We start from the raw sequence: 23,750 nt of genomic DNA, 5'->3' as shown, positions 1-23,750 counted from the left end.
ACCTCAAGTGATCCACCCACCTCTGCCTCCCAAAGAGCTGGGATTACAGGAGTGAGCCACCGTGTCCGGCCAGATAAATTACTTAAAACTTTTTGTAAAGAAAATGAGAGTAAGACTATGGAAATAAGAATAGATAATAGAAATAAAGCAATAGAAAAGGTTTTCATCATTTAAGGACAGAGAGCATTTTGATATGTAAATAAGGAAAAGGGAGAAAGTACAACTGACCCTTGAATACATGGGGGTTAGGGACACCAACCTCCCTCACAGTCTAAAATCCATGTGTAACTTTTGACTCCCCCAAAACTTAACTCCTAATAGCCTAGTGTTGACTGGAAGCCTTACTAATAACGTAACAGTTATTTCACATATACTCATTAAATGGAACTGGATCATCATAAAAGTCTTTCTCCTTGTCTTCACATACAGACGGCAGAGGAGGAGGAAGGAGAGGAGAGGTTGGTCTTGCTGTCTCAGGGGTGGCGAAGGTAGAGCAGGTGGCAGGAAAGGCAGGCACACTCAGTGTAATTTTTATTGGAAAAAATCCACATCAAAGTGGGCCTGTGTAGTTCAAATTTGTGTTATTTAAGGGTCAACCGTAGTGGAGAAAGAAGGACTGAATACGAGACAGAGGGCAAAATCAATTTCCAAGAAATTTGTGTACTTCACATCCAAGACTAGGAACTCCAGAAAAAGTGTCAACACTCAGGCACAGAGTTCATTGTCTACCTTTCTTTCTACATCATTTTCTCCCTAATTTTTATTTAATCAATATTTCAAAGTTACAAAAATATATTAAAAATCACTGACAAATATTTTCAGGAAAAGTGCAGAATTTCCATTTTAACCAAGGAGAAAGGGAACTAAGAAAATCATCAGATGTTCAACAAACGTAAAGAAAGGAGAATAAAGGAAATAAGACCGCATAATAACCAGAAAAATACTTAACACACATATAGTGACAAACACCAATGGTTCGCTTTCCCTATTAAAAGGAACCTTTTTTCCCTATAAAAAGGTTCAGTCCCTAAAAATGAACCCAGTGGTTCACTTCCCTTGGCAGATGAAGGAGGCGGTGGCAGTGGTGGAAGAAGGGGTGGTGGCGGCAGGGGTAGGGAGCCTGGAAACCCCAGCGGGGATGGTAGGAGGGTTGGACCCGCCATGCTGCCATCGTTTCCAGAAAGGGTTTGACTGGAGGAACCTCTGGAGCAGCTGTTGGCTAGCTCCTCTGACTGATGACATGTTGAGGTGCATGGGCCAGCGGCAGTGAGGGCAACTGATCCAGAGGGGGCCATTCTAGAGGCCGGGACACCAGTACCATGGGCCAGTGTGTCACCAAGTGTAAGAATCCCTCATTGACCCTGGGCAGCAAGAATGCAGACCATGACCCCAGCAAGAAGTCACACAGCAGGCAGGGTGCAGGCCACTGTGAGGAGCAAGTACCACCCTGTGGCATGCCAAGTAGAGATAGCCTTGTCAATGGGACCAAGAAGGCCGAGGCTGCCAGCTGCCAACATCCTCAGGAGATGGTGGGAGGGAGTCCAACTCCAGTGCCGAGGAGTCTTCCTTGCAGGGGTTGGAAGAACTGTTCAGGTGCTACAAGGATGAGTGGGAAGATGCAATTTTGGAGGAAGGCATGGAGCACTTTTGCAATGACCTATGTGTCGACCCCACAGAATTCCGAGTGCTGCTCTTGGCTTGGAAGTTCCAGGCTGCAACCATGTGCAAATTCACCAGAAAGATTTTTGATGGCTGCAAAGCATTAAATGCAGACAGCAGTGACAGAATCTGTGCACGGTTCTCCAGCCTCTTAACAGAAGCCAAACAGGAGAATAAATTCAAGGATCTCTACCAGTTTACATTTCAGTTTGGCCTGGACTCTGAAGAAGGGCAGTGGTCACTGCATCGGCAAATAGCCATCACCCTATGGAAACTAGTCTCTACCCAGAACAATTCTCCAGTATTGGACCAATGGCTGAACTTCCTAACAGAGAACCCCTTGAGGATCAAGGGCATCTCCCGGGACTCTTGGAACATGTTCCTTAACTTCACTCAGGTGATTGGCCCTGACCTCAGCAACCACAGTGAAGATGAGGCCTGGCCAAATCTCTTCGACACCTTTGTGGAGTGGGAAATGAAGCGAAGGAAAAGAGAAGAGGAAGGGAGAGGTGCACTCAGCTCAAGGCCCGAGGGCTTGTGTCCTGAGGAGCAGACTTAGTGGCTCTGTCCCAGGAGCAGCAGCAAGGATCTGCCCGCTGCCCTGCAGCCAACTGAGGAATTGGACCTTTTGGGAAATTACTGAAGATCAGGATAGTTTCTACTTCACACCTTTGTTGGGGTGATCAGACTCAACACCAGGCCGTGGGGGCTACAAGTCCAGCAGAGTCAAAGGAATGAGCAAAGAGAAGTCAAGAGTGAAAGTGGGACCAGGGGGCCAATGCTAGTATGGAGGCTGCAAAGGCCCCAAGCTCTGGAAGCAAGCACTATTTACTGGTGATCAAACAAAGCAGCAGGTGGTGAGGATGTGGGGGTTGAAAGAAAACCATTTATCAAGCAATGATCTACAGCTGAGATGGTTTACCATTTTCTTTGAAGCATATGGAACATGTTCTGCTGCTTGAGATAATGGGAAACACGTTCTTCTAGTTTACGATACAATCGAACTATGAGCCTGGGAGTGCTAGAAGCAAGGAGCCAGCAAGTGTAGACACATTCCAGAGGCCACGAGGGGTTTTACGCCCTGAGCCCTGGATTCCATCCAGGCCACGAGGGGTTTTACGCCCTGAGCCCTGGATTCCATCCAGGCCACGAGGGGTTTTACGCCCTGAGCCCTGGATTCCATCCAGGCCACGAGGGGTTTTACGCCCTGAGCCCTGGATTCCATCCAGGCCACGAGGGGTTTTACGCCCTGGGCTTAGATAACGGTGCGGCAGGGCAGCCTTCCACCCTTTAGCACTAAACTTGGTATTCCAAAGGCCACGAGGGGTTTTAGACCCCAGACCCCAGACACGTTCCAAGACTCTTTTACACTATGTCAGACATGCAAGCCCTGCCTCAGCTTTTTTTCCCAACACTCAGCTTTTCTCCCAACATAGCTTTCTCTGCTTTGTATCTGAAAGGGCTCTAAAATGCTGTACCATGTTTTAGGCACTTTCTTCATTTTTTGGTTATTTTGGTTATTTCTTGTTTTGGGGGAATCTCCCAAAATATTTGAACCTGGCTACATGTTATCTTTTTTTTGTAGCCTTCAGATAGAATAAGCCTGCCATTTCTTGCACAAATTAGGTTTTTTTTTTTTTTTTTTGGTAGGGGAAGGCATAGAGCAGGGAGGGGGGGATGGGATGGTTAGGGTGAATTCACATTATAAAATGATACAGTGCCAGATCTGTTTTGCATATTGTTTCTAAGGGCAGGTCTGTACTGTGTGTAGCGCTATTTACATGGTTGAAATTAGGTTGTAATAATTTTTTTTTTTTTTGAGATGGAGTCTTCCTCTGTCACCCAGGCTGGAGTGCAGTGGCGCAATCTCGGCTCACTACAAGCTCCACCTCCCAGGTTCACGCCATTCTCCTGCCTCGGCCTCCTGAGTAGCTGGGACTACAGGCAACCACCACCACACCAGCTAATTTTTTGTATTTTTAGTAGAGACAGGGTTTCACCATGTTAGCCAGGATTGTCTCGATCTCCTGACCTCATGATCTGCCCACCTTAGCCTCCCAAAGTGCTGGGATTACAGACGTGAGCCACTGCGCCCAGCCAGTAATAATTATTTTTAAAGATTTACACAGATTTGAATAGGAGTGTTAACTTAATCACACTGCATTAATTTCCAGGCGATTTAGAGCTCTTGGAGAGCCAAGGCCAGCCAAGAGCATTTGTAGTCTGGTGACAACCCCCTTTTAAGCTAATTTATCCAGAACTCTGATTTCCCTCACTTCTTGCTCATTCCTTCTTTGACCTATTGCATTTCATGTTGAGTTTATCCATCAACATGCTGCACCTGTCAGTCAAGTGAGCATTTTTTAAGAACACGTTGTACTGAGAACCACTTAAGCATTGAATGCAGAGAAAGCAGTGCTACCTCAGTTTTGCTGGAAGTAGACTTCTTTGATAGTTTTCTTTCTTTGATGAAGTTTCTGTATTTTCATGTTGTAAGTGGAAATAATTTTTTTTGTTTGTTTCGTTTGCCTTGGAGCCAAAGTTTCTGTTCCTGGTGGTTGGGAAACTGTGTGCCGGCCAACTGACTTTAAGGAAAACTGTGGTATGCAGCTCTGCTTGAATTGTTATTTATTTATTTATTTATCTCTTTGAATATCATGAGCTTACTTGTCTGGCAAAGGCAGAAGCCTGGAGTGGGCCTGAATTGTGCCAAACAAATATCAAAGTATATTTAATAGTTAAATTTGTGCCCTTTCCCTTCTTGCTGCACCCATGTTGTCACTTAACCCCCAGGAGTCAACTTTTTGTTAAAGTCAGGCTCATGTGGGGTAATGTGATGACTGTTTAGGTTTACAGGACCCTCCTCTCCTTTCCCTACCCCCAAATATGTATATATACATATATAAAATATGTATATATTTTAACTATATAAAATATATATGTGTACACATATATGTATCTATATTCCTTTGTTTCTTTGCCTGCTTATACTGGCCATAAAAGAGGGAGCTGCCTTCAATGTATAAAGTATAGGAAGAGTGCCAGGGAATGCCATAATGGAGGCTTTTGGGTCTGAATTTGGACCACTTTCACTAAAGAGAACATGAGCTTGTTCAGCCCTTTCCTCACAAGAGGGTCCAGTTCCCCAGACTTCTCCACACGCTCGCTCCATAAGGCCAGCTTTGGCCAGACTGCCTCAGGGGCTTGAGGAGCTGACTCTGGTCCTACCTGGTTTCAGTTAGAGGATCCTCCTGTTATTTTTCCATTTAAAAAGTATGTCCTCAGAAAACTTTACTGGAAGGATGGGTGGCAGGAACTTGTATAGTTCAGCTTCCAACACTTTGGAACAGATTAAAAAGGGAATCTTTTAAATAAAAACTTATTAAAAAAAAAAAAAGACAAAAACTCAGCCAGGCATGGTGGTGCACGCCTATAATCCCAGCACTTTCGGAGGCTGAGGTGGGTGGATTGCTTGAGGTCATGAGTTCGAGACCAGCTTGGCCAACATGGTGAAACCCCATCTCTACTAAAAATACAAAAAAATTAGCCAGACACAGTGGCGTGTACCTGTAGTCCCAGCTATTTGGGAGGCTGAGGCTGGAAAATCACTTGAACCCGGGAGGCGGAGGTTGCAGTGAGCCGAGATCGGGCCACTGCACTCCAGCCTAGGCAACAGAGTGAGACTCTGTCTCAAAAAAAAATAAATAAATAAAGACAAAAACTCTAAAATTGATTTAAAATCCAGCTGTATGGTACCTACAAAAGATATACGTAAAACAGAAACCAAAAAGTTTAAAATTTCAAAAGAGGAGGGCAGACACAGGATATAGCAGGCAAATGCAAATGTAAAGAAAGCAGTGAGAATAACGTTATCAGATAAGGGAGAATATATGTGAAAACAAAAATAAGCCTCTTTTTGGTGAAAGAAGGTATCAAATCAGAAATGCAAGATTCCCCTTCCAAAAATCATCCACTTTTTTCAACAAATTACCTTGTTAGCTGAATACAGAAGGCAAAATAAAAGTCCAAATCCAGGTTGCTATGTGCTGGTCTTCCTTGCTTCCCTAAACCCTCACCACCTTAAGTCCTGGCTCTGTGCTCAGCATGCGCAGAGCTTCTATTGTGAAATGCACTGCAGATCCCCGTGCCAGCTGTGGGCTGGTAAAGTGCTGATTTAGGTAACTACAAAAGGCTTCTTAAAAGGTGAACATGGCCAGACATGGTGGCTCACGCCTGTAATACCAGCACTTTGGGAGGCCAAGGCAGGTGGCGGATGGCTTGAGCTCAGGGGTTCGAGACCAGCCTGGGTAACATGACGAAACCTTGTCTCTACAAAAAAGACAAAAATTGGCTGGGCGTGGTAGTGTGCACCTGTGGTCCCAGCTATTCGGGAGGCTGAGGTGGGAACATGGCTTGAGCTCAGGAGGCAGAGGTTGCAGTGGGCTGAGATCACACCACTGTAGTCCAGTCTGGGCAATTCAGCCAGGCCTTGTCTCCAAAAAAAAGAAAAAAGAAAAAAAAAAAGAAAGTGAACATGGAACTTAGTAATATACATTTGTCATCAATTCCTTAAGATGTTTTATTCCTTTCCTCCTTTCCATTTAGTATGAGTCATTTTCCCCCTAGCACTACATTCAGTACAGGATACCTCATAGTGTTTAAGGAGCTTCATGGGTTTATCTTACTCATACAGAGGTTTTCTTAAACCTAAAAACAAAGGCTTTTTGATACAGTTATTGTTTGAAAAAACTGCATATCAAATAGAATAAGGACATTATAAATGATGAAAGCATAATTTATAAGTAAAATATGATAGTGATGAAGTTTTAGGCACTGCAGCAGCAAAGTGTCTTCAGATATGATACTGAGCAATCCACATTTTTTCTTTACAAAATCACAATCATATTTAAACTCCAATTACAACAGCAACAGAAAATGAAACACCTAAGAATACATTTAAGAGAAATATGCAAGATCTTCATGATTGGTCTGTAAAGAGTTAAAGGCCATAATGAAAGATCTGAATAGAATAAAGTATCATTTTTTTACTTAATATGAAGAATAAACATCGTAAAGATGGCAATCTTCCTCAAACTGACTTACACACTTTGAAATTCAAATCAGAACTGCATAATTTTACTTTTTTACTATTACTGTTGGAACTTCATAATAAAATTCGACTATTAAGGATAAATATACGAGAACAGTAACGAAACTTTTGAAACGAAAAATGAGGGAAGAGTTGCTTTACGAAATACCAAAATGGGCCGGGCGCAGTGGCTCACTCCTGTAATCCCAGCACTTTGGGAAGCTGAGGCAGGCAGATCACGAGGTCAGGAGTTCGAGACCAGCCTGCCAGCATGGTGAAACCCCGTCTCTACTAAAAATACAAAAAGTTAGCCAGGCGTGGTGGCACGTGCCTGTAGTCCCAGCTACTGAGGAGGCTGAGGCAAGAGAATGCCTTGAACCCGGCAGGCAGAGGTTGCAGTGAGCCAAAATCATGCCATTGCACTCCAGCCTGGGAGACAGAGCAAGACTCTGTCTCTCAAAAAAAAAAAAAAAAAAAAAAGCAAAATGAATTCTGAGACAACAAATACAATAGTGTGGTACTACAACAGAAATAGAACAATGGAATAGAATCCAGAAAAATAAACATATATATAAATTTTAAAAATAAACTCATATATAAATATATGTAAACTATATTATAATATAAACTCTCATATATATTTCATATATATGTGACAATTTGGCATATTTTAAAGGTTCCATTTCAAGTCCACGGAGAGTGAGCAGATTATTTCAGTAGATAACATCAGCTCCAATGCCATCTCCTGAGAGGGGCCACTCCTCTGCTGAGCTAAAACAGCCCTGAGTGACACTCTACCATGTTCCCCTGCTGCGTCCTCATCACAGCACCTAACACTATCCTCAACCACATTTCCTCTTTATTGTCTGCATCCCCTGTGGAAAATAAGAGCTCAGAGAAGGAGATCTTGCCTCTCTTACTCACTGCAACACTCCCAGTATCCAGAACACGGCACACCACATGGCAGAGAAGCGCTAAATATGTTTAATGAGTGGATGGATGGATGAAATGCTTCACCACATCATGTTAAATGAAGTTAGATCCCTACTTCACATCACAGACAATACATTCCAGATAGCACAAGGATGTAAATTTAAAATTATAAAACTAATAGAAAACACAGAAAAAGATTTATATTATCTTGGGGTACAGAAAACTTTTCTTTTTTTTTTCTTTTTTCTTTTTTGGAGATGGAGTCTCACTCTGTTGCCGGGCTAGAGTGCAGTGGCACAATCTTGGCTCACGGCAACCTTCACCTCCCGGGTTCAACCGATTCTCCTGCCTCAGCCTCCCCAGTAGCTGGGACTACAGGCACGTGCCACCATGCCCAGCTAATTTTTGTATTTTTGTATTTTGTAATTTTGTATTTTTAGTAGAGACGGAGTTTCACCGTATTGGCCAGGATGGTCTCAATCTCTTGACTTCGTGATCCACCCACCTCGGCCTCCCAAAGTGTTGGGATTACAGGCGTGAGCCACCATGCCAGGCTCCTTTTCATAGCATGATCCCAAAGCCAAGTAAAGAGAAAGGAAATTTAACTGCATAAAACTTCAAAACTTTTTTGTAGCAAAATATATTATAAACAAATTTAAAAGAAACATGACAGAATACTGGCAACGTATAGCAAAGGAATACTATCCACTTTATAGGAAAGACCTCTTTTATATGTAAATAACTCAATATAAAAATGGGCAAAGGGTGTAGACAGGTATTTTAAAAGGCTGGAAGAATGTACATCATAGTTGTTTCTGAGGGTTGGAAACTTGGAATTCTCTCTCATTGCCTTTAAATTTTTAAAAAGGGATAGTAGATATGATTAGTCTATATGCCCAATATTTATATTCAAAAAAATATTAAATTTAAAGGCAAATAAAAGTAACACCTAGACAATTCATACTACCATCACTGGCCAATATGGGAAAGATGAAACTACGGAGAAAGATGAAAAAAGGAAAACAGCTCTAATGTTGCATTGATATGTCCCAAGTCTATTACTGTACTTCGTAATTGCATTCCATTTACAGGTTATAAACACATCTAGTTGACAATTACACTTTATTTCTCAACATCTGAGTTACTCATTTCTCATCTACTGTACAGTTCCAAGTGATTCATCAGTAATTCAGAGAAGCAGCAACAAAAGTGACAAAATGCCTGTCATCAGCTGCTATCAAGTGTCTAGACTAATGTCCCTTAAGGCAGACTGGTTAACTAAACTATGATATGCCCACATAATCAAAGAAAGAAGCCCCGATGTACTGATATGGACAGGTCTCCAAGATATATTGTGAAATGCAAAATAGCTAAAAATAGAACAGGTGCAGACTCCTGAGTAAATATTATCTGTTATCAACTGGATTAAAAATTGGGAAAATACATACTTTTATGGGCTTTTGTAGTCATCTCTGGAAAGCTACATAAGAAATGAGAATCATTACCTTTTTATGAGAAGAGATAATAGGGAGCTTGGAGACAAGAGTAGGAAGAAGATTTATTTTAAGTGAATGCTTATTTTTGAATTCTGAACACTGACTGTATCAGCCATTCAAATTTTAATTAATCACAATCTGAATCAAATTATCAGCAAACATCAAACAAACCCACATTGAGGATCATTCTATGAAATAATTGGCCTGTACTCTTCAAAAGTATCCAAGTCATTGAAGATCAATAATGAACTTTTCTAGATAAAAGGAGACCAAGGAGATACGACAGCTAAATACAATGTGTGATGTGGATTGGATTCTGCACCAGATAAAGGACAGTTGTAGGACAGGTGGCAAAATCCAAGTAAGGTTTGTAGTTTGGCTAATAGTATTGTATCGATGTAAGTTTTCCTTATTTTGATAACTGTATTTTTGCTAGGTATGATAATAGAAAGCACACACGGACACTTAGAGTGAAATGGGCATGTCTGTAATTTATTCTCAAATGGTTCAGAAATATATATACACAAACATGTGTGTGTATACAGGAAGAGAAAAATGGCAAAATGTTAATTTAGATGAAGACTATCCAGAAATTGTTTTATTTTTGCAGCATTTGTTGTTGTCTCAGTCTGTCTCCCAGGCTGGAGTGCAGTGGAGTGATCTCACGTCACTGCAACTTCCGCCTCCTGGGTTCCAACGATTCTCCCACCTCAGCCTCCTGAGTAGCTGGGATTACAGGTGTGTGCCACCACGCCCGGTTCATTTTTTGTATTTTTAGTAGAGACGGGGTTTCACCATGTTGGCCAGGCTGGTCTCGAACTCCTGACCTCAAGTGATCCACCTGCCGTGGCCTCCCAAAGTGCTGGGATTACAGGCATGAGCCACCGTGCCCGGCCTTGCAGCAGTTTTTAAAGTCTGAAATTATTTCATAATAAAAGTTAAAAAAAAAACAAACCAAAAAACCACAAGATGCATTTTCCACCCTTGAAAATAACTAAAATTTAAAAAGCTTATAATACCTAGTGTTATGAACTGTGTCCCCCAAAAAAGGTATGTTGAAGTCCCAGCTTCTAGTACCTTGCAATAGGACCTCATCTGAAAACAGGTTGTCTCAAATATGACTGGTATCCTTATAAGAAAAACGGCTATTTGAAGACATGAACACATAAGGATAACATCAGATGACAAAGGAGGTAAGGATTAGAGCGATGCAGCCATGAACCAAGGAACACCAAAGAGTGCCAGCAAACCACCAGAAGCTAGAAGCTAGGAAGAGTAAAGGAAGGATTCCCCCACCAGTTTCAGAGAGCAAGGCCCTGCAAATGCCTTCATTTCAGACTTCTGGCCTCCAAAACTGTGAGACAATAAATTTCTATTGTTTCGAGCCACTCAATTTGTGGCACTTTATTACAGCAGCTCTTGGAAATGGATACACCAAGTATGGAAGAGCATGTAGAGCGACTGGAATTCTCAAATACTGCAGGAGGGAATGTACAATGGTACATATACTTTGGAAAACAGTTTAGCTGTTTGTTACAAAGTCAAATGTACACTTGACCTAGGTATTTACCCAAGAGAAATTAAAGTATATATCCACAAAAAGACTCATACATGAATGTACAGAGCAGTTTTATTCATAATAGCTAAAAACAGGAAACAACTTGAAATGTCTGTCACAAGTGAATGAACAAAAGGTGGTATATTCAACTGTGTACTACTTAAGACAAAAAGGAACAAACTATTACTACACACAATATCATGTAAAGACCTGAAAAACATTACGTTGAGCAAAAAAAGCCAGGCATAATATATACTGTTTGATTTCATTGACATGAAGTTCTACAAAGGGCAATACTGTAGGGACAGAAATCAAACCAGTGACTTCCTGGGGTGGGGGACGTGGAGTAGAAGTGGCACGAGGACACTGTCTGGCTGGGGTGGGGGACGTGGAGTAGAAGTGGCACGAGGACACTGTCTGGCTGGGATGGGGGACGTGGAGTAGAAGTGGCACGAGGACACTGTCTGGCTGGGGTGGGGGACGTGGAGTAGAAGTGGCACGAGGACACTGTCTGGCTGGGGTGGGGGACGTGGGGTAGAAGTGGCACGAGGACACTGTCTGGCTGGGGTGGGGGACGTGGAGTAGAAGTGGCACGAGGACACTGTCTGGCTGGGGAGGGGGACGTGGAGTAGAAGTGGCACGAGGACACTGGCTGGCTGGGGTGGGGGACGTGGAGTAGAAGTGGCACGAGGACACTGTCTGGCTGGGGAGGGGGACGTGGAGTAGAAGTGGCACGAGGACACTGGCTGGCTGGGGTGGGGGACATGGAGTAGAAGTGGCACGAGGACACTGGCTGGCTGGGGTGGGGGACGTGGAGTAGAAGTAGCACGAGGACACTGTCTGGCTGGGGAGGGGGACGTGGAGTAGAAGTGGCACGAGGACACTGGCTGGCTGGGGTGATGCAAAAGTTCTGTACCTTGACTGAGGTGGTGGCTATGTTGGTGCATAAATTTGTCAAAACTCAATGAATTCTATGCTTAAATTGGGTTATTTTATTAAACTGTGCCTCAGAAAAAGCTGATTTAAAAATTAACACTATTTTGGCTACATAAATTAAAATGTAGGTTACTGACAACCAAACCACAACAGTCATCAACCAAAATCTTCTTAATGCTTCCCCTTTCAACATTTCCCTCTTCCAGAAACTCCCTTTGTCCAATACCCCCATTTTAAAAGTTATTTTGCCTTTTATAACTGAGTTTGATAATACTGAAGAAAGCAGTACAAATGGAAATCACAACAGTTTATACTTGCCTCCACGAAGCTTTCTTTAAACTGGTCTCTAATAAATAAACAAGTGATCCTAATAAATCAACGACCCCTAATACATACTTTTATGAGAAGAGAAAATGCCGTTAAGTCTTCAGTATTCCAGACAACAAGGCTAAGTAAGTTTAACCTTAAAAAAAAAAAAGAAGTTAGGGCCAAGTCTTCTGATGCCTTATTTTCTTTTTCAGAGAAGCCTGGAATCCTCACCTACTATCCCAGCTCCATGCTTCCCTCCATCTCACGGACACTACTTTTTCCTAGGAAAGTTTTGATTGTGCGAACTCCCTTATCAAAATTCCTCAGACTGACCTCCACCCCCATGGCCACCACCCTGCCAAACACACAAACTCCTCCTTCCCGACACTTGGTCCTAAAATTTTTATCCGATTTCTTCTACTCCAGCAGAGCATTTCTCACTATCAGTCACTGCCCCCTTCAGTCCACCTCTAAAAGTCTATACACAGGCTCTTGGCTGGGATGATACTAAGAATGCCTACAACTTACTGAATAACTTCAACATTCCAGGAGCCATGCCAGGCATTTTTTACTTTTATTATTTTATTTGAACTTTCAACAGACCTATGAAGTAGCTATTACTATTAAATGAAATCAGCCAGGTGACGTTCTTCATGTCACCTATATGGCAGACAGGTAATGCTGTAATTCCTATTATGACCATGAGAAAATAATGTTTCAGGAAAGCCAAGCCTCTTGCCAAGACAATGTAGCTATTAAATGGTAGAGCTGGGATTTAAACTCTGGACACACTGACTCCCTTATAACAAATCCTCTCCAGTTATCCCTTCCCAACCCCTGAGATGGGCAAACACTACCTACTTCTCCTGGCCACCACCCTGATCCTCCCCTTCACTCCAGCTTGGAATACGGATAAACTGGGTCCCTAACCACACTTGTTCTTATTACCATATTCAGGTGCAATTATGACTGTATACCATGCAGATGTGCCCTCTTTTATGATCCCTGAGAGCCCATAAGCCCTATAAGCACCAGCACCAGCTTGCATATAACTTTTTTCCCTTTCTGACCCTTGAACAGCACCAAGAACACAGCAGGCCAGGGTATCCAGCTGAGTAAGTGGCAGCTAGGAACAGAGGTCAGGAACACAGAGGGGGCTTTGTGAAAAATATCCAGCATTCTGCTATTTCAATAACCCTGTCCTGAGCAGTGAGGCCCACATGCAGTACAGGAGGAAGGGGGAGGTTTGAGAGGGAAAAATGAGCTCACCCGAGCTCCCAATGGCAGAGGCCAAGCAGCCATTGCCTTCTCCTTCCTTCCTGTGGGGTTCTTCCTTGGGGAGGGACAGAAGCCAAAGGAGGCAGAGCTGAGGGAAGGGAAAGAAGCCATGAGAAACAAGACTCCTGCAACAGCAACAATGAAAATACCTATAAATAAACTAAATAAGACCTGGATAGTAGCTACATAAAGAAAATGATTTTCATGTATTAAGTTCACTTCATTATGCCTATTTAGCTATACAAAGACGAAAGACAGAGAGACATGACATATTCTTGCACAATATGTCTCAATATACCAGGATGTCATTTCTTTAATTCATAAACTTAACACATTCCCAGCCAAGTTATGCCTAAGTAACAATATTTTACAGTTAATATGGGCCATGCGCGGTGGCTCACGCCTGTAATCCCAGCACTTTGGGAGGCCAAGGTGGGTGGACCACTTGAGGCCAGGAGTTCGAGACCAGCCTGGCCAAAATGGCAAAATCCTGTCTCTACCAAAAATACAAAAATTAGAGAGTGGTGGTGGGCGCCTGTAATCCCAGCCACTCAGGAGTCTGAGGCAGGAGAATCACTTGAACCGGGGAGGTAGAGGTTGCAGTGTCGAGATCACACCACTGCACTCTAGCCTCGGTGACAGAGCAAGACTCCGTCTCAATAAAAAAAAAGAAGTTCACTAATTATGGAAAAAATATTTAAGTTGTGTGTTACAACAACTAAGACTTTTTTAAAAAAGAATACTGATGAGAGACAACTTGCCCACCAGTATTCATAAAGCTACAAGAATTGGAACACAATATTACTGACTTATTTACCAGATACATTGTTGACCACCTACTGTATACTAGGCACCATTGCATGGGGTAGGGGTGGATACAGCTGTAAATAAAACAGATAAACTCTCCGCAATCATGGATGTTATAGCCGAACAGGGAAAAGCATCAATGGAACAAATTAAAATTCTACCAACCTAAATGGTTCAAATACACATGTATTTATGTATGTGTGTGTATATATATATTTCATTCAAGATATGAAATAAGTGACATTTCATATCAACGAAGAAAAAATTACTAAGTAACTTGTAACAAAGGCTTACCATTTGGAAAAAAATAAAAATGTACACAAAAAATGAAAGTACTAAGAGAAACTACAAACATTTTTGTAATCTCGTGGGACAGACAGCTTCTCTGCCAGTGATGTCAAACACCCAAACGTGAAGAAAAGGTTTTCATGTGTGACCATAAGAACCTGTGACGTTTCTGCACAGTCAGGAAACATGCTTATGTATCAGATACAAAATTAAAATACAAAATGCAAACTGCGTGAAAATATTCATTAGTGTTCAAAATGCAAATGTAAACAATCCTATCTTTTGCACCTCTCAGAAGTTCAAGAGAATACTAACATTCACAGTTGGTGTGGGTAAATCTGGCACTCTTACACTGCAAGTGTTTATATAAACTGCAACTTTTCTGGAGGGAATAAGACAGGAGGTATCAAAATCCTTACTGTACCCTGGACCTAGAAATTTCACTTTAAGAGATTTATAGAATAAGACAAAATGCAAAGATGTATGTAGCCAGATGGCCTATACTGTTTATAATACTGAAAAAAAAAAAGAAAAAAGAAAACCCTAACACAAAAACCTAAGGAGAGGATTCAATACGACACATCCATACTTTCCCTCACACTCATTAAAATGACGTAGCTCTATTTAAAATCTGGTATAAGTAGATGGTGTCAACATATTCCAATGTTTTTTTCAGATGTATTCTCTATCTTCATTGGGTGTTTAGGCCAGTAAAAAATTACAAGGCTTAAGATTTGTGCACTTCAAACCCCTTACCAAATGCATCTCATGACTCAGTTTTAAAAGATAGATGGAGAAAAAGCTGCTAATATTCATATTTCTGTTTAAAAACAAAGTACAAAGTGTTTCTATGCTTATACACATATCCACGCTGCCATGCAGATGGAGATAGATTTTGAATGATTGTTTTAATCTCAATTTTCCAGTTGTGCTACAGTGAAATCGCTTAAGGAAAAAAAGAAAAGATTCCCCGAGGTCGAAACCTGCACCAGGTTGGCCTCCCCATTCTTATTGTGAGATGGGAGGGGAGCCCACGCCAGCGCTCTCGGAATGAGATCCAGAGGGCGGGTCCGGAGACCCGGTTTACACAAAGGGCAGATGCTGCACAGGGAGACCCAGCCTCTGGCCCAGAATCCCCGGGATGTCCGCGGGTTAGGTTCGCTCCACGGTCGCAGCGTGTCCCGGGACAAAGCTGCGCGCGGCTGGGGAAAGCCAGGGAGGAACCCGGGTCCGAGCGACTCTTGGAACCTTGGGCCCCTCCCTGACCCGTGGTGGCCGGCGTGGCCCTTGTTCGAGCCCCCATCCCCGCTGCTCCGGGGCTGTGATTCCACCTCGGCGCCTGCCCAGGACAGCGCCGAAGGACACTCAGCTGCCAGCGTGCTCCCGCCGCCAGCTCCTGGGGAAGAGGGAGCGCACCTGGAGCCGGAGGCCCGGCGCTCCACAGGCGCAGTGAGGCCGCACCCCCGGCCCATCTGCTGCGGGCCCGCCCCTCAACCCTCAGGAAGCTGGGGCCTCGCCCCGCAATCCGGAGCTCCTCCTGCGGGGGCCTACAAGACTCACGGATGGCGCGCGCCCCCGCCACCGGCCCCGCACTCACCCTCTCCCAGCAGGAGCGGGAGCAGCGGCGACCGACACAGCCGCGACCGGCGCTTACAGCCCGGAGCGCCAGACTACATTTCCCACAAGGCTGCGGGGCTGCAGTGCGGCCAGGCCGTCGGCGTGTGCGAGAACGGGGCCCCAGAGGGCAAGGCTGTGCCAGTGGCCAGCTGAGGTGGCCCACGGTGTGGCCTCTGCAGGTCATCGGTGTGTCCAGGCGGGACGCGGGGTTCCCAGGCGGCCCCTTACCCCGGCTAAAGTCGTCTCTCTGGCCAGGCCTGCAATCTCAGCACTTTGGGAGGCGGGTGGGTGAATCACCTGAGGTCAGGAATTCAAGACCAGCCTGGCTAACATGGTGAAACCCTGTCTCTACTAAAAATACAAAAAAAATTAGCCAGGCGTGGTGGCGGGCACCTGTAGTCCCAGCTACTCGGGAGGCTGAGACAAGAAAATCACTTGAACCTGAGAGGCAGAGGTTGCAGTGAGCCGATATTGCGCCACCTCACTCCAGCCTGGGTGACAAGAGCAAGAGAGTGTCTTAAAAAAAAAAAAAAGGCATTAATTTACCAGCAAATAAAATATTTTAAACTTTTATGTATTTAATAACATAAGATACAAAATACATAAAGCAAACATGGGCAGAACCCATTTTTAATTTTGTTTTCTTTCTTTTTTGTACAGATGGGATCTTACTCTGTTGCCCAAGCTGGTCTCAAACTTCTGGGCTCAAGCAACGCTCCTGCCTTGGCCTCCCAAAATGCTGGGATTATAGGCGTCAGCCACCACCCTGGCCTCAGAGTTTTTAACCTACCTTCTCAGTAACTAATAGAAAAGCTGACAAAAAGGTCACTATAGATATGAAATATTTGAAAAGCAAAATTAGTTTTATGTTAATGAATAGACATGTAGACTACTCCACCCCAAAACTGAAGAAAACACATGGAAAAGCATATATTTACTTAAGAAATGATCTCATACTAGTCTGTAAAGTAGCCTCAACACATTTCAAGCAATTGGTATCACACAAGACCATATTCTTTGACAATGTAATTAAGCTAAACATTTTTTAAAAGACTAGAAACTTTTTAGAAAAGATTTAGGTAAAGGGAATATTTAGAGGAAATTTTGCAGCCTTCAAAGCATACAGTAAAGAAGAAAAGAAGGCAGATTGGGTACAACACATCTAATTTTGTTCCCTCCTAACACGTACTGATATAGTTCAGGACACACACACTCACTGCCAAAATATGGCACCTCATCATTTGAGAAAACAGCAGAAACAGGAAGGACTTTTCCACACATCTCCCACGAAGCAGGTTGTAAAACCTAGGAAGAATTTCCTAACGTCCCCTGAAGCAGGTCGTAAGATTCTCATGTGAGATTTGCACTCCCTATACCTGGAGGAAAGTAACATCTTTATTGCTGAAGACACACAGTCACAGAGAAAACTCTTGAACAAACAGGCCTTGCTAAGTTGCCCCCAGTGTATTACTATTAGATCATATCCTCTTTGTCCATTTATATTTCTCTGTGACTTCATCAAATTTAGCATAAAAATACACAACTTTAACTGTTTCTTTGGGACTTCATTTCCTTATGTAGGCTGCTGTGTCATGTAAAACTTGTATTAAAGAAACTTGTATGTTTTGCTCTTGTTAATTTGTCTTTTGTCTTAGGGGTCTCAGCCACCAACATAGGACGCGCAAGAAAAATGTATTTTGCCTCCTCTGTACCACTAAAAGCAAATGTAACAGATTGTTTGAAAACTTGTTAATTCACAAGGTCAGGAAAAACAAGTAAGGACACACCAGCAACATTTTAAATCTTGGAAACGGATGTTATTTTCTTGGCAAACCTGAAATAATGCCAAATCCCAGAGAGCTGTAAGAAAGGTAAAGGCCAGGCTGGGTACAGTGGCTCATGCCTGTAATCCCAGCACCCTGGGAGGCCGAAGTCAGGGGATCACTCAAGACCGCAAGTTCCAGGACAGCCTGGGCAACATGGCGAGATGCTGTCTTTACAAAAAATAAAGGTAGGAAGGAATGGAGTCTCTCTACTGTTTTGTGCAAATGTAGTCGGGTTTATGATCAGAACTGCTGTTATGTACAATGCTGCTAACCTCCAAGCCTTGGAGGGAAAAGGTTAAGGATGAACTTTCTGTTCTTGGGCACACAACCAAAAGGCCTGGACAATGAGAAACTTTTTCTGGACTGGTTCCACTAATGCTTTTGTCCGTGAAATCACGAAGTACCTTGCCAGTAAGGGACTGCCCTTGAATGTTCTTTTGATATTGGACAATGACCCTGGTCACCCAGAACCCATGAGTTCAATGTCAAAGGCACTGAAGTGGTCTACTGTATTAATATCAGATAATGTGGACTTTGTAGACAAAGAAAATTGAGACAGGAAAATTACATAATGATAAAAGGGCTAATCTACCAAAAAGTTATAGCAGTCAGTTTTTAATTTTTTAAAATGTTTCGTAGAGACAGGATCTACCTATGTTGCCCAGACTGGTATCGAACTCCTGGCCTCAAGTGATCCTCCCACCTCAGCCTCCAAAAGTGCTGAGATTACAGGCACATGCCACCATGCCCAGCTTTGTTGCTGTTGTTGTTGTTGTTTTTTGAGACAGTCTGTCGCTTTGTTGTCCAGGCTGGATGCAATCTCGGCTCACTGCAACCTCCGCCTCCCAAGTTCAAGCGATTCTACCTCACCTGAGTAGCTGGGATTACAGGCACTAGCCACTGTGCTCGGATAATTTTTGTATTTTTAGTAGAGACAGGGTTTCACCATGTTGGTCAGGCTGGTCTCGAACTCCTGACCTCAAGTGATCCACTTGCCTCAGCCTCCTAAAGTGTTGGGATTACAGGCGTGAGCCACTGCGCCCGGCCTAGCTTTGTTTTTTTCTTTCAAATTCTACAGCAGGCTTAAAAATGGTTTATGTTCAAACATTACAATACTAAGGGATTCTGTATCTATGTATTTTTTACCAGAGTCTTTATATTTTCATAGTTTCATGTTGTTATTACCTTTCAATTTAAAGAATTCCCTTTAGCATCTTTTTGAGACAGGAGTCTGTCACCCAGGCTACAGTGCGGTGGTGTGATCTTAGCTCACTGCAACCTCCACTTCCCAGGTTCAAGGGATTGTGCCTCAGCCTCCCACCTAGCTGGGACTACAGACGCCCACCACTACACGTGGATAATTCACATAATTTTAGTAGAGATGGGGTTTCACCATGTTGGCCAGGCTGGTCTCAAACTGCTGACCTCAAGTGATCCCCCCGCCTCAGCCTTCTGAAGTGCTGGGATTATAAGCATGAGCCACCTTACCCGGCCAGATCTCCATTTCTTTAGGGTTGGTTTCTGGAGGTTAGTTTCTTTTTATTGGGATGTGTTTCACTCTTTCTTTACAGCCTTGTGATCTTTTGTTGAGACTTGACCACTTGAAAAAAACAGTCCCCTCCAGCAGTCTCTAAGGATTGGCTTTGTGTAAAAGAAGACCGTCATCATTTAGCACAACTAGAGATTCTGGGATTGTCTCAAACTTTTTCTGGGGATGCTACTTCTCTGGGCTTGTGCACAGAATGAGGTTTTTGCCTGCTTCTTCTTTAGAGATTGTAACCTCTTGTTCCCCTTGCTGTCTGCAGTATTACAGTCTCTCTGGTGATGTAACAAGCTCCAGTGCTCACCTTTGTTCTCAGCAGCCCCCAATCTAGCATCCAAACTACTAATTCCAGTCAGTACTCTGAGTCTCATGAGACAAACCATGCCCTTGGAAAGCACCATGAAAAGCTAAAACACTGGATGCACAGCCCACTCTTCTTCCCTCCTGAGGGAAAAACTGGCAGCTGAGTGTTTTTTTCCTGATCACACCTTGCCACGCTAGGCAGTGGGAGTGGCTAGGGTGGGTAAAATGTCAAAAATTTTCTACCATTTTGATGTGTCTCTGTCCTTGCACTCACCTGGCGTGCTACAACTTCTTAGTGTCTAGAATTCTCACAAAAGCAATTTGTAGTTTGATGTTTAGCTGATGTGTCTGTGGGAGAACAAGGGACTAGGGCTTCCTATTCTGCCGATGTCATTTCCCTGGGTTAAAACTTATTTTACTTCAGTACTTGAAAAATGTTGTGCCTCTGTGGTTTCTAAGTGAAAAATCTGTTTTCATTAGATTTTTATCCCTATAGGTAAACTGTGATTTTTCTCTCTAGCCTCCAGTGTTTTTTTTGTTTGTTTTTTTGTTTTTGAGACAGTGTCTCACTCTGTCCCCCAGGCTGGAGTGCAGTGGCGCAATCTCGGCTCACTGCAAGCTCCACCTCCCAGGTTCACGCCATTCTCCTGCCTCAGCCTCCTGTGTAGCTGGGACCACAGGCGCCTGCCACCACGCCTGGCTAATTTTTTGTACTTTTAGTAGACAGGGTTTCACCGTGTTAGCCAGGATGGTCTCGATCTCCTGACCTTGTGATCTGCCCACCTCAGCCTCCCAAAGTGCTGGGATTACAGGAGTGAGCCACCAAGCCCAGCCTAGCCTCCAGATTTTCTTTTAGTTTTCCGAAGTTGAACTGTGATATGTTTTGGTGTGGATTCCTTGGATTCATGCTTCTAGAGGTTTGCTCAGCTTCTTGAATGTATAGGTTCATACCTATTGCTAAACTTGGGAATTTTCAGCCATTAATATTTCAAAGATTTTCTAGGCCCACTTTTTCTTCTCTCTCTCCCCTGAACTCTGATTATATTGTTAGATCTTTTATTACAATTCTACAGATTCCTGAGTCTCTGCTTTTCTTCCAGTCTGTTTTCTCTCTGTATTTAAGACTGAGTAAATTCTACTTTATCTTTAAATCCACTGATACTTTCCTCTGTCCTCTCAGTTCTGCTGCTGTGCCTATGCAGTGAATTTTAAAATTTTTGGTTACTGTATTTTAGTTCTAAAATTTCCGTTTTTTTTTTGTTTTTTTTTTTTTTTTTGAGACAGAGTCTTGCTCTGTTGCCCAGGCTGGAGTACAGTGGCACGATCTTGGCCCACTGCAACCTCTGCCTCCCGGGTTCAAGTGATTCTTCTGCATCAGCCTCCCGAGTAGCTGGGACTACAGGTGCGCACCACCATGCCCAGCTAATTTTTGTATTTTTAGTAGAGACAGAGTTCCACCATATTGGCCAGGCTGGTCTCGAACTCCTGACCCCATGGTCTGCCCGCCTCAGCCTCCCAAAGTGCTAGATTACAAGCATGATCCACCACGCCCAGCCTAAAATTTCCATTTTTTCTTTCTCACTTCTTTGCTGAGAGTTTTTATTTCAAATATTTTCATAATTGCTCTTTGAAACGTTTATGATGGCTACTTAAAAATCTTTGTCAGATAATTCTAACATGTCTATCATTAACTTGTTAGTATCTACTGATTGTCATTTTTCATTCAAGTGATCTTCCTGGATCTTGACATGATTTTTTGTTGAAACTTGAACATTTTTAGTATTATGTTATGAAACTCTGAATCTTATTTGACCAGGTGGACTAGAAGCTCATGTTCCTCATTTGACGTATCTAGATACCACATAAGGGTCTCCATTTTACTTGTGTGGGTGAAATTTCTGGGAGCTTACTAGGCCTACACTGATATAACTATGGTTGGGAGGTATTAAGTGTGACTTATTCCTGCTCCCTATGTAGCCTCCAATGACACTGTGGGGTTGGAATGTGGTCTGATTACTGCTGGGCAGGGGTAAATGGTCTTACTCTGCACTAGGCCTCCACTTAACACCAACCTACCAGAAAAGGGGAATGATGCCTTCTTCCTACTGGGTGGGGATAGCAGCCCTTTCTGCACATGGTCCCCGCTATTATTGCTGGCATGGGGCAGGTGCTCATTACCAGCCAGTGTGGATGAATAACCTAGCTCTTGGCACTCTCTGATACCACCCAGCAGGGGTTTTATGAGCCTTCTTTTCATCCTTACAAGGGCAGAAGTTTAGACTTCCCACTTGGCTTTTGCTGGTGTGTATAGTCATGGGAGCAGCTTTATCTGGTTGTGTGACCAAAGTAGAGTGGCTGTCTAAAGTTTTCTGTCTTGCTAGACAGAACTTGCTAAACTGCCCAATTCCTGGTCCTTTGAGTAGAGACAGTAGACTTTTCTTAGAGCTTCCTTTTTTGGTGGGTCTCTGTTGGTGTTTCTGGGTTTTCCATCTTCTTCAGCTCCAAGTCTGGGATATATGAGGCAAAAAGAATCACCACTGGCCAGGCATGGTGGCTCACACCTGTATCCCAGCACTTTGGGAGGCCAAGGCAGAAGGATCACTTGAACCCAGGAGTTGGAGCCTGGGAAACATAGGGAAACCCACCCCTACAAAAAAAAATAGCCAGGCACAGTGGTGCATGGTACAGGACTGTGGTACCAGCTATTTTGGAGGCTGGGGTGGGAGGATCACTTGGGCCTCGGAGGTCAAGACTGCAGTGAGCCGTGATCACATCATTGCATTCCAGCCTGGGAACGAACAAGACCGTCTTGAAGGAAAAAAAAAAAAAAGACTCACCAGAGTCTTATGTTTATTTATAATATACAAGGTTTCAGATGTATGGGATAAATAAGGAAAGGTACATCTGTCTATTCCATCTTCCTGGAATAATCTGATTTTTAGGTTGAAAATTTAATTCGTAATACATAATTATTTTATTGAACAATATATACCAATATAGTGTTTTATTGAACAATATATACCAATATAGTGTTTTATTGAACAATATATACCAACAGGAAAATAGTAAGATTTCTTTGGAGTTCTTTTTGTTCTCAGATCAACTCATCTTGAAATCTCTACACAAAAATTCATACGATGAAAATTTTAAATTTTGAGTTGATCTATACCATATACCACCAAGACCCATAAAGCAGGATATTACATAATAATGTAGAATTTCTAGAGCTGAAAAGGCTAGACACCATGTAACTTGAAGCAGAATGGGGGCTGGAAAACATACAAGTTTCTTGACTGTTCAATGCTCTCACAGAAAGTTATATAAGAAAATAAAATATTTTCATTTTTTATAGATCTTAGAAATTACATTACTGAAATAACTGACTTTACAGCTTGGAACAGACTGAACTATGATACTAACTAAATATCTTCTGATCTTGAAAGACTAATTGCACCTAAATTTTTAAAAATATAACCATGTCAGCTTTAATTAAGAATTTTACTATCTGTAGTATTTGGCAAAATACCAGAGCAGTTTGGGACACCAAGAACAGAAATAACCTTTTTAGTTCTCATTAAGAACTCTTCTCACAGACTCGCCCAAAGACCTACTCCCAACAATCAGTCCTTCAGTTTCTCAATGATCAGATAATCTTTGAATCATTTGATCATAATCAGAAATGATCAAATAATCTTTGAATCATCTATTCTATCAGATAATTCTTCCTAAAATAGTCTCAAATTGGTCATTTGCTCCTCAGAAATATAGTGAATTAATATGTCCATCATCATATCCAAACTCCTACAGTCTTAGACAGCATTCAAAGTCTCTGACAGGGTAACTGTAGCTTTCATTTCAAATATTTTTATTTTATCCTACCAGGAGCCCTCTACACCAGCAAAGCCAGTCTCCCTACAGGTCCCTACAAATGCTAGATTTATTCTTCCTCTGAGCCTTTTGCTCCCAGGCCTTGCCTTCCAAGAGTACCTCATTTCCATGTATTATTACATCTTTCCTTGAGACTTGGATAATTTCCTTTTGCTCTAAGTTCTTAGAACACAACGTTGGGCACTTCATCAGGCTTCTGTTTACTAAGGAAGAAACCTGA

General features: G+C 42.7%; 1 protein-coding gene and 1 pseudogene across 1 annotated transcript in view, besides 3 other annotated features; one reads left to right on the top strand and one right to left on the bottom strand.

The window, feature by feature from the left end:
- The window catches only part of ZFP2 (ZFP2 zinc finger protein), a 37,300-nt gene extending 21,288 nt beyond the window's left edge, over window positions 1-16,012 (bottom strand). The window contains exon 1 of the mRNA NM_030613.4: window positions 15,951-16,012. The gene's annotated coding sequence lies outside the window, so the exon portion shown is untranslated. The remainder of the gene's footprint in view (window positions 1-15,950) is intronic.
- Window positions 1,062-2,332, top strand: LOC100422593 (defective in cullin neddylation 1 domain containing 3 pseudogene; annotated as a pseudogene).
- Window positions 15,770-15,819: a silencer, noted in NCBI's record as "silent region_16727". NCBI's record gives its function as "represses an Ori minimal core promoter by ATAC-STARR-seq in GM12878 lymphoblastoid cells {active_cell/tissue: GM12878}" and the evidence as "EXISTENCE:reporter gene assay evidence [ECO:0000049][PMID:35858748]".
- Window positions 15,890-15,999: a silencer, noted in NCBI's record as "silent region_16726". NCBI's record gives its function as "represses an Ori minimal core promoter by ATAC-STARR-seq in GM12878 lymphoblastoid cells {active_cell/tissue: GM12878}" and the evidence as "EXISTENCE:reporter gene assay evidence [ECO:0000049][PMID:35858748]".
- Window positions 16,110-16,299: an enhancer, noted in NCBI's record as "active region_23748". NCBI's record gives its function as "activates an Ori minimal core promoter by ATAC-STARR-seq in GM12878 lymphoblastoid cells {active_cell/tissue: GM12878}" and the evidence as "EXISTENCE:reporter gene assay evidence [ECO:0000049][PMID:35858748]".

Source organism: Homo sapiens, chromosome 5 (assembly GCF_000001405.40).
Source record: "Homo sapiens chromosome 5, GRCh38.p14 Primary Assembly".
Classification (NCBI taxonomy): domain Eukaryota; kingdom Metazoa; phylum Chordata; class Mammalia; order Primates; family Hominidae; genus Homo; species Homo sapiens.
This window is presented reverse-complemented; position numbering and strand designations above follow the sequence as displayed.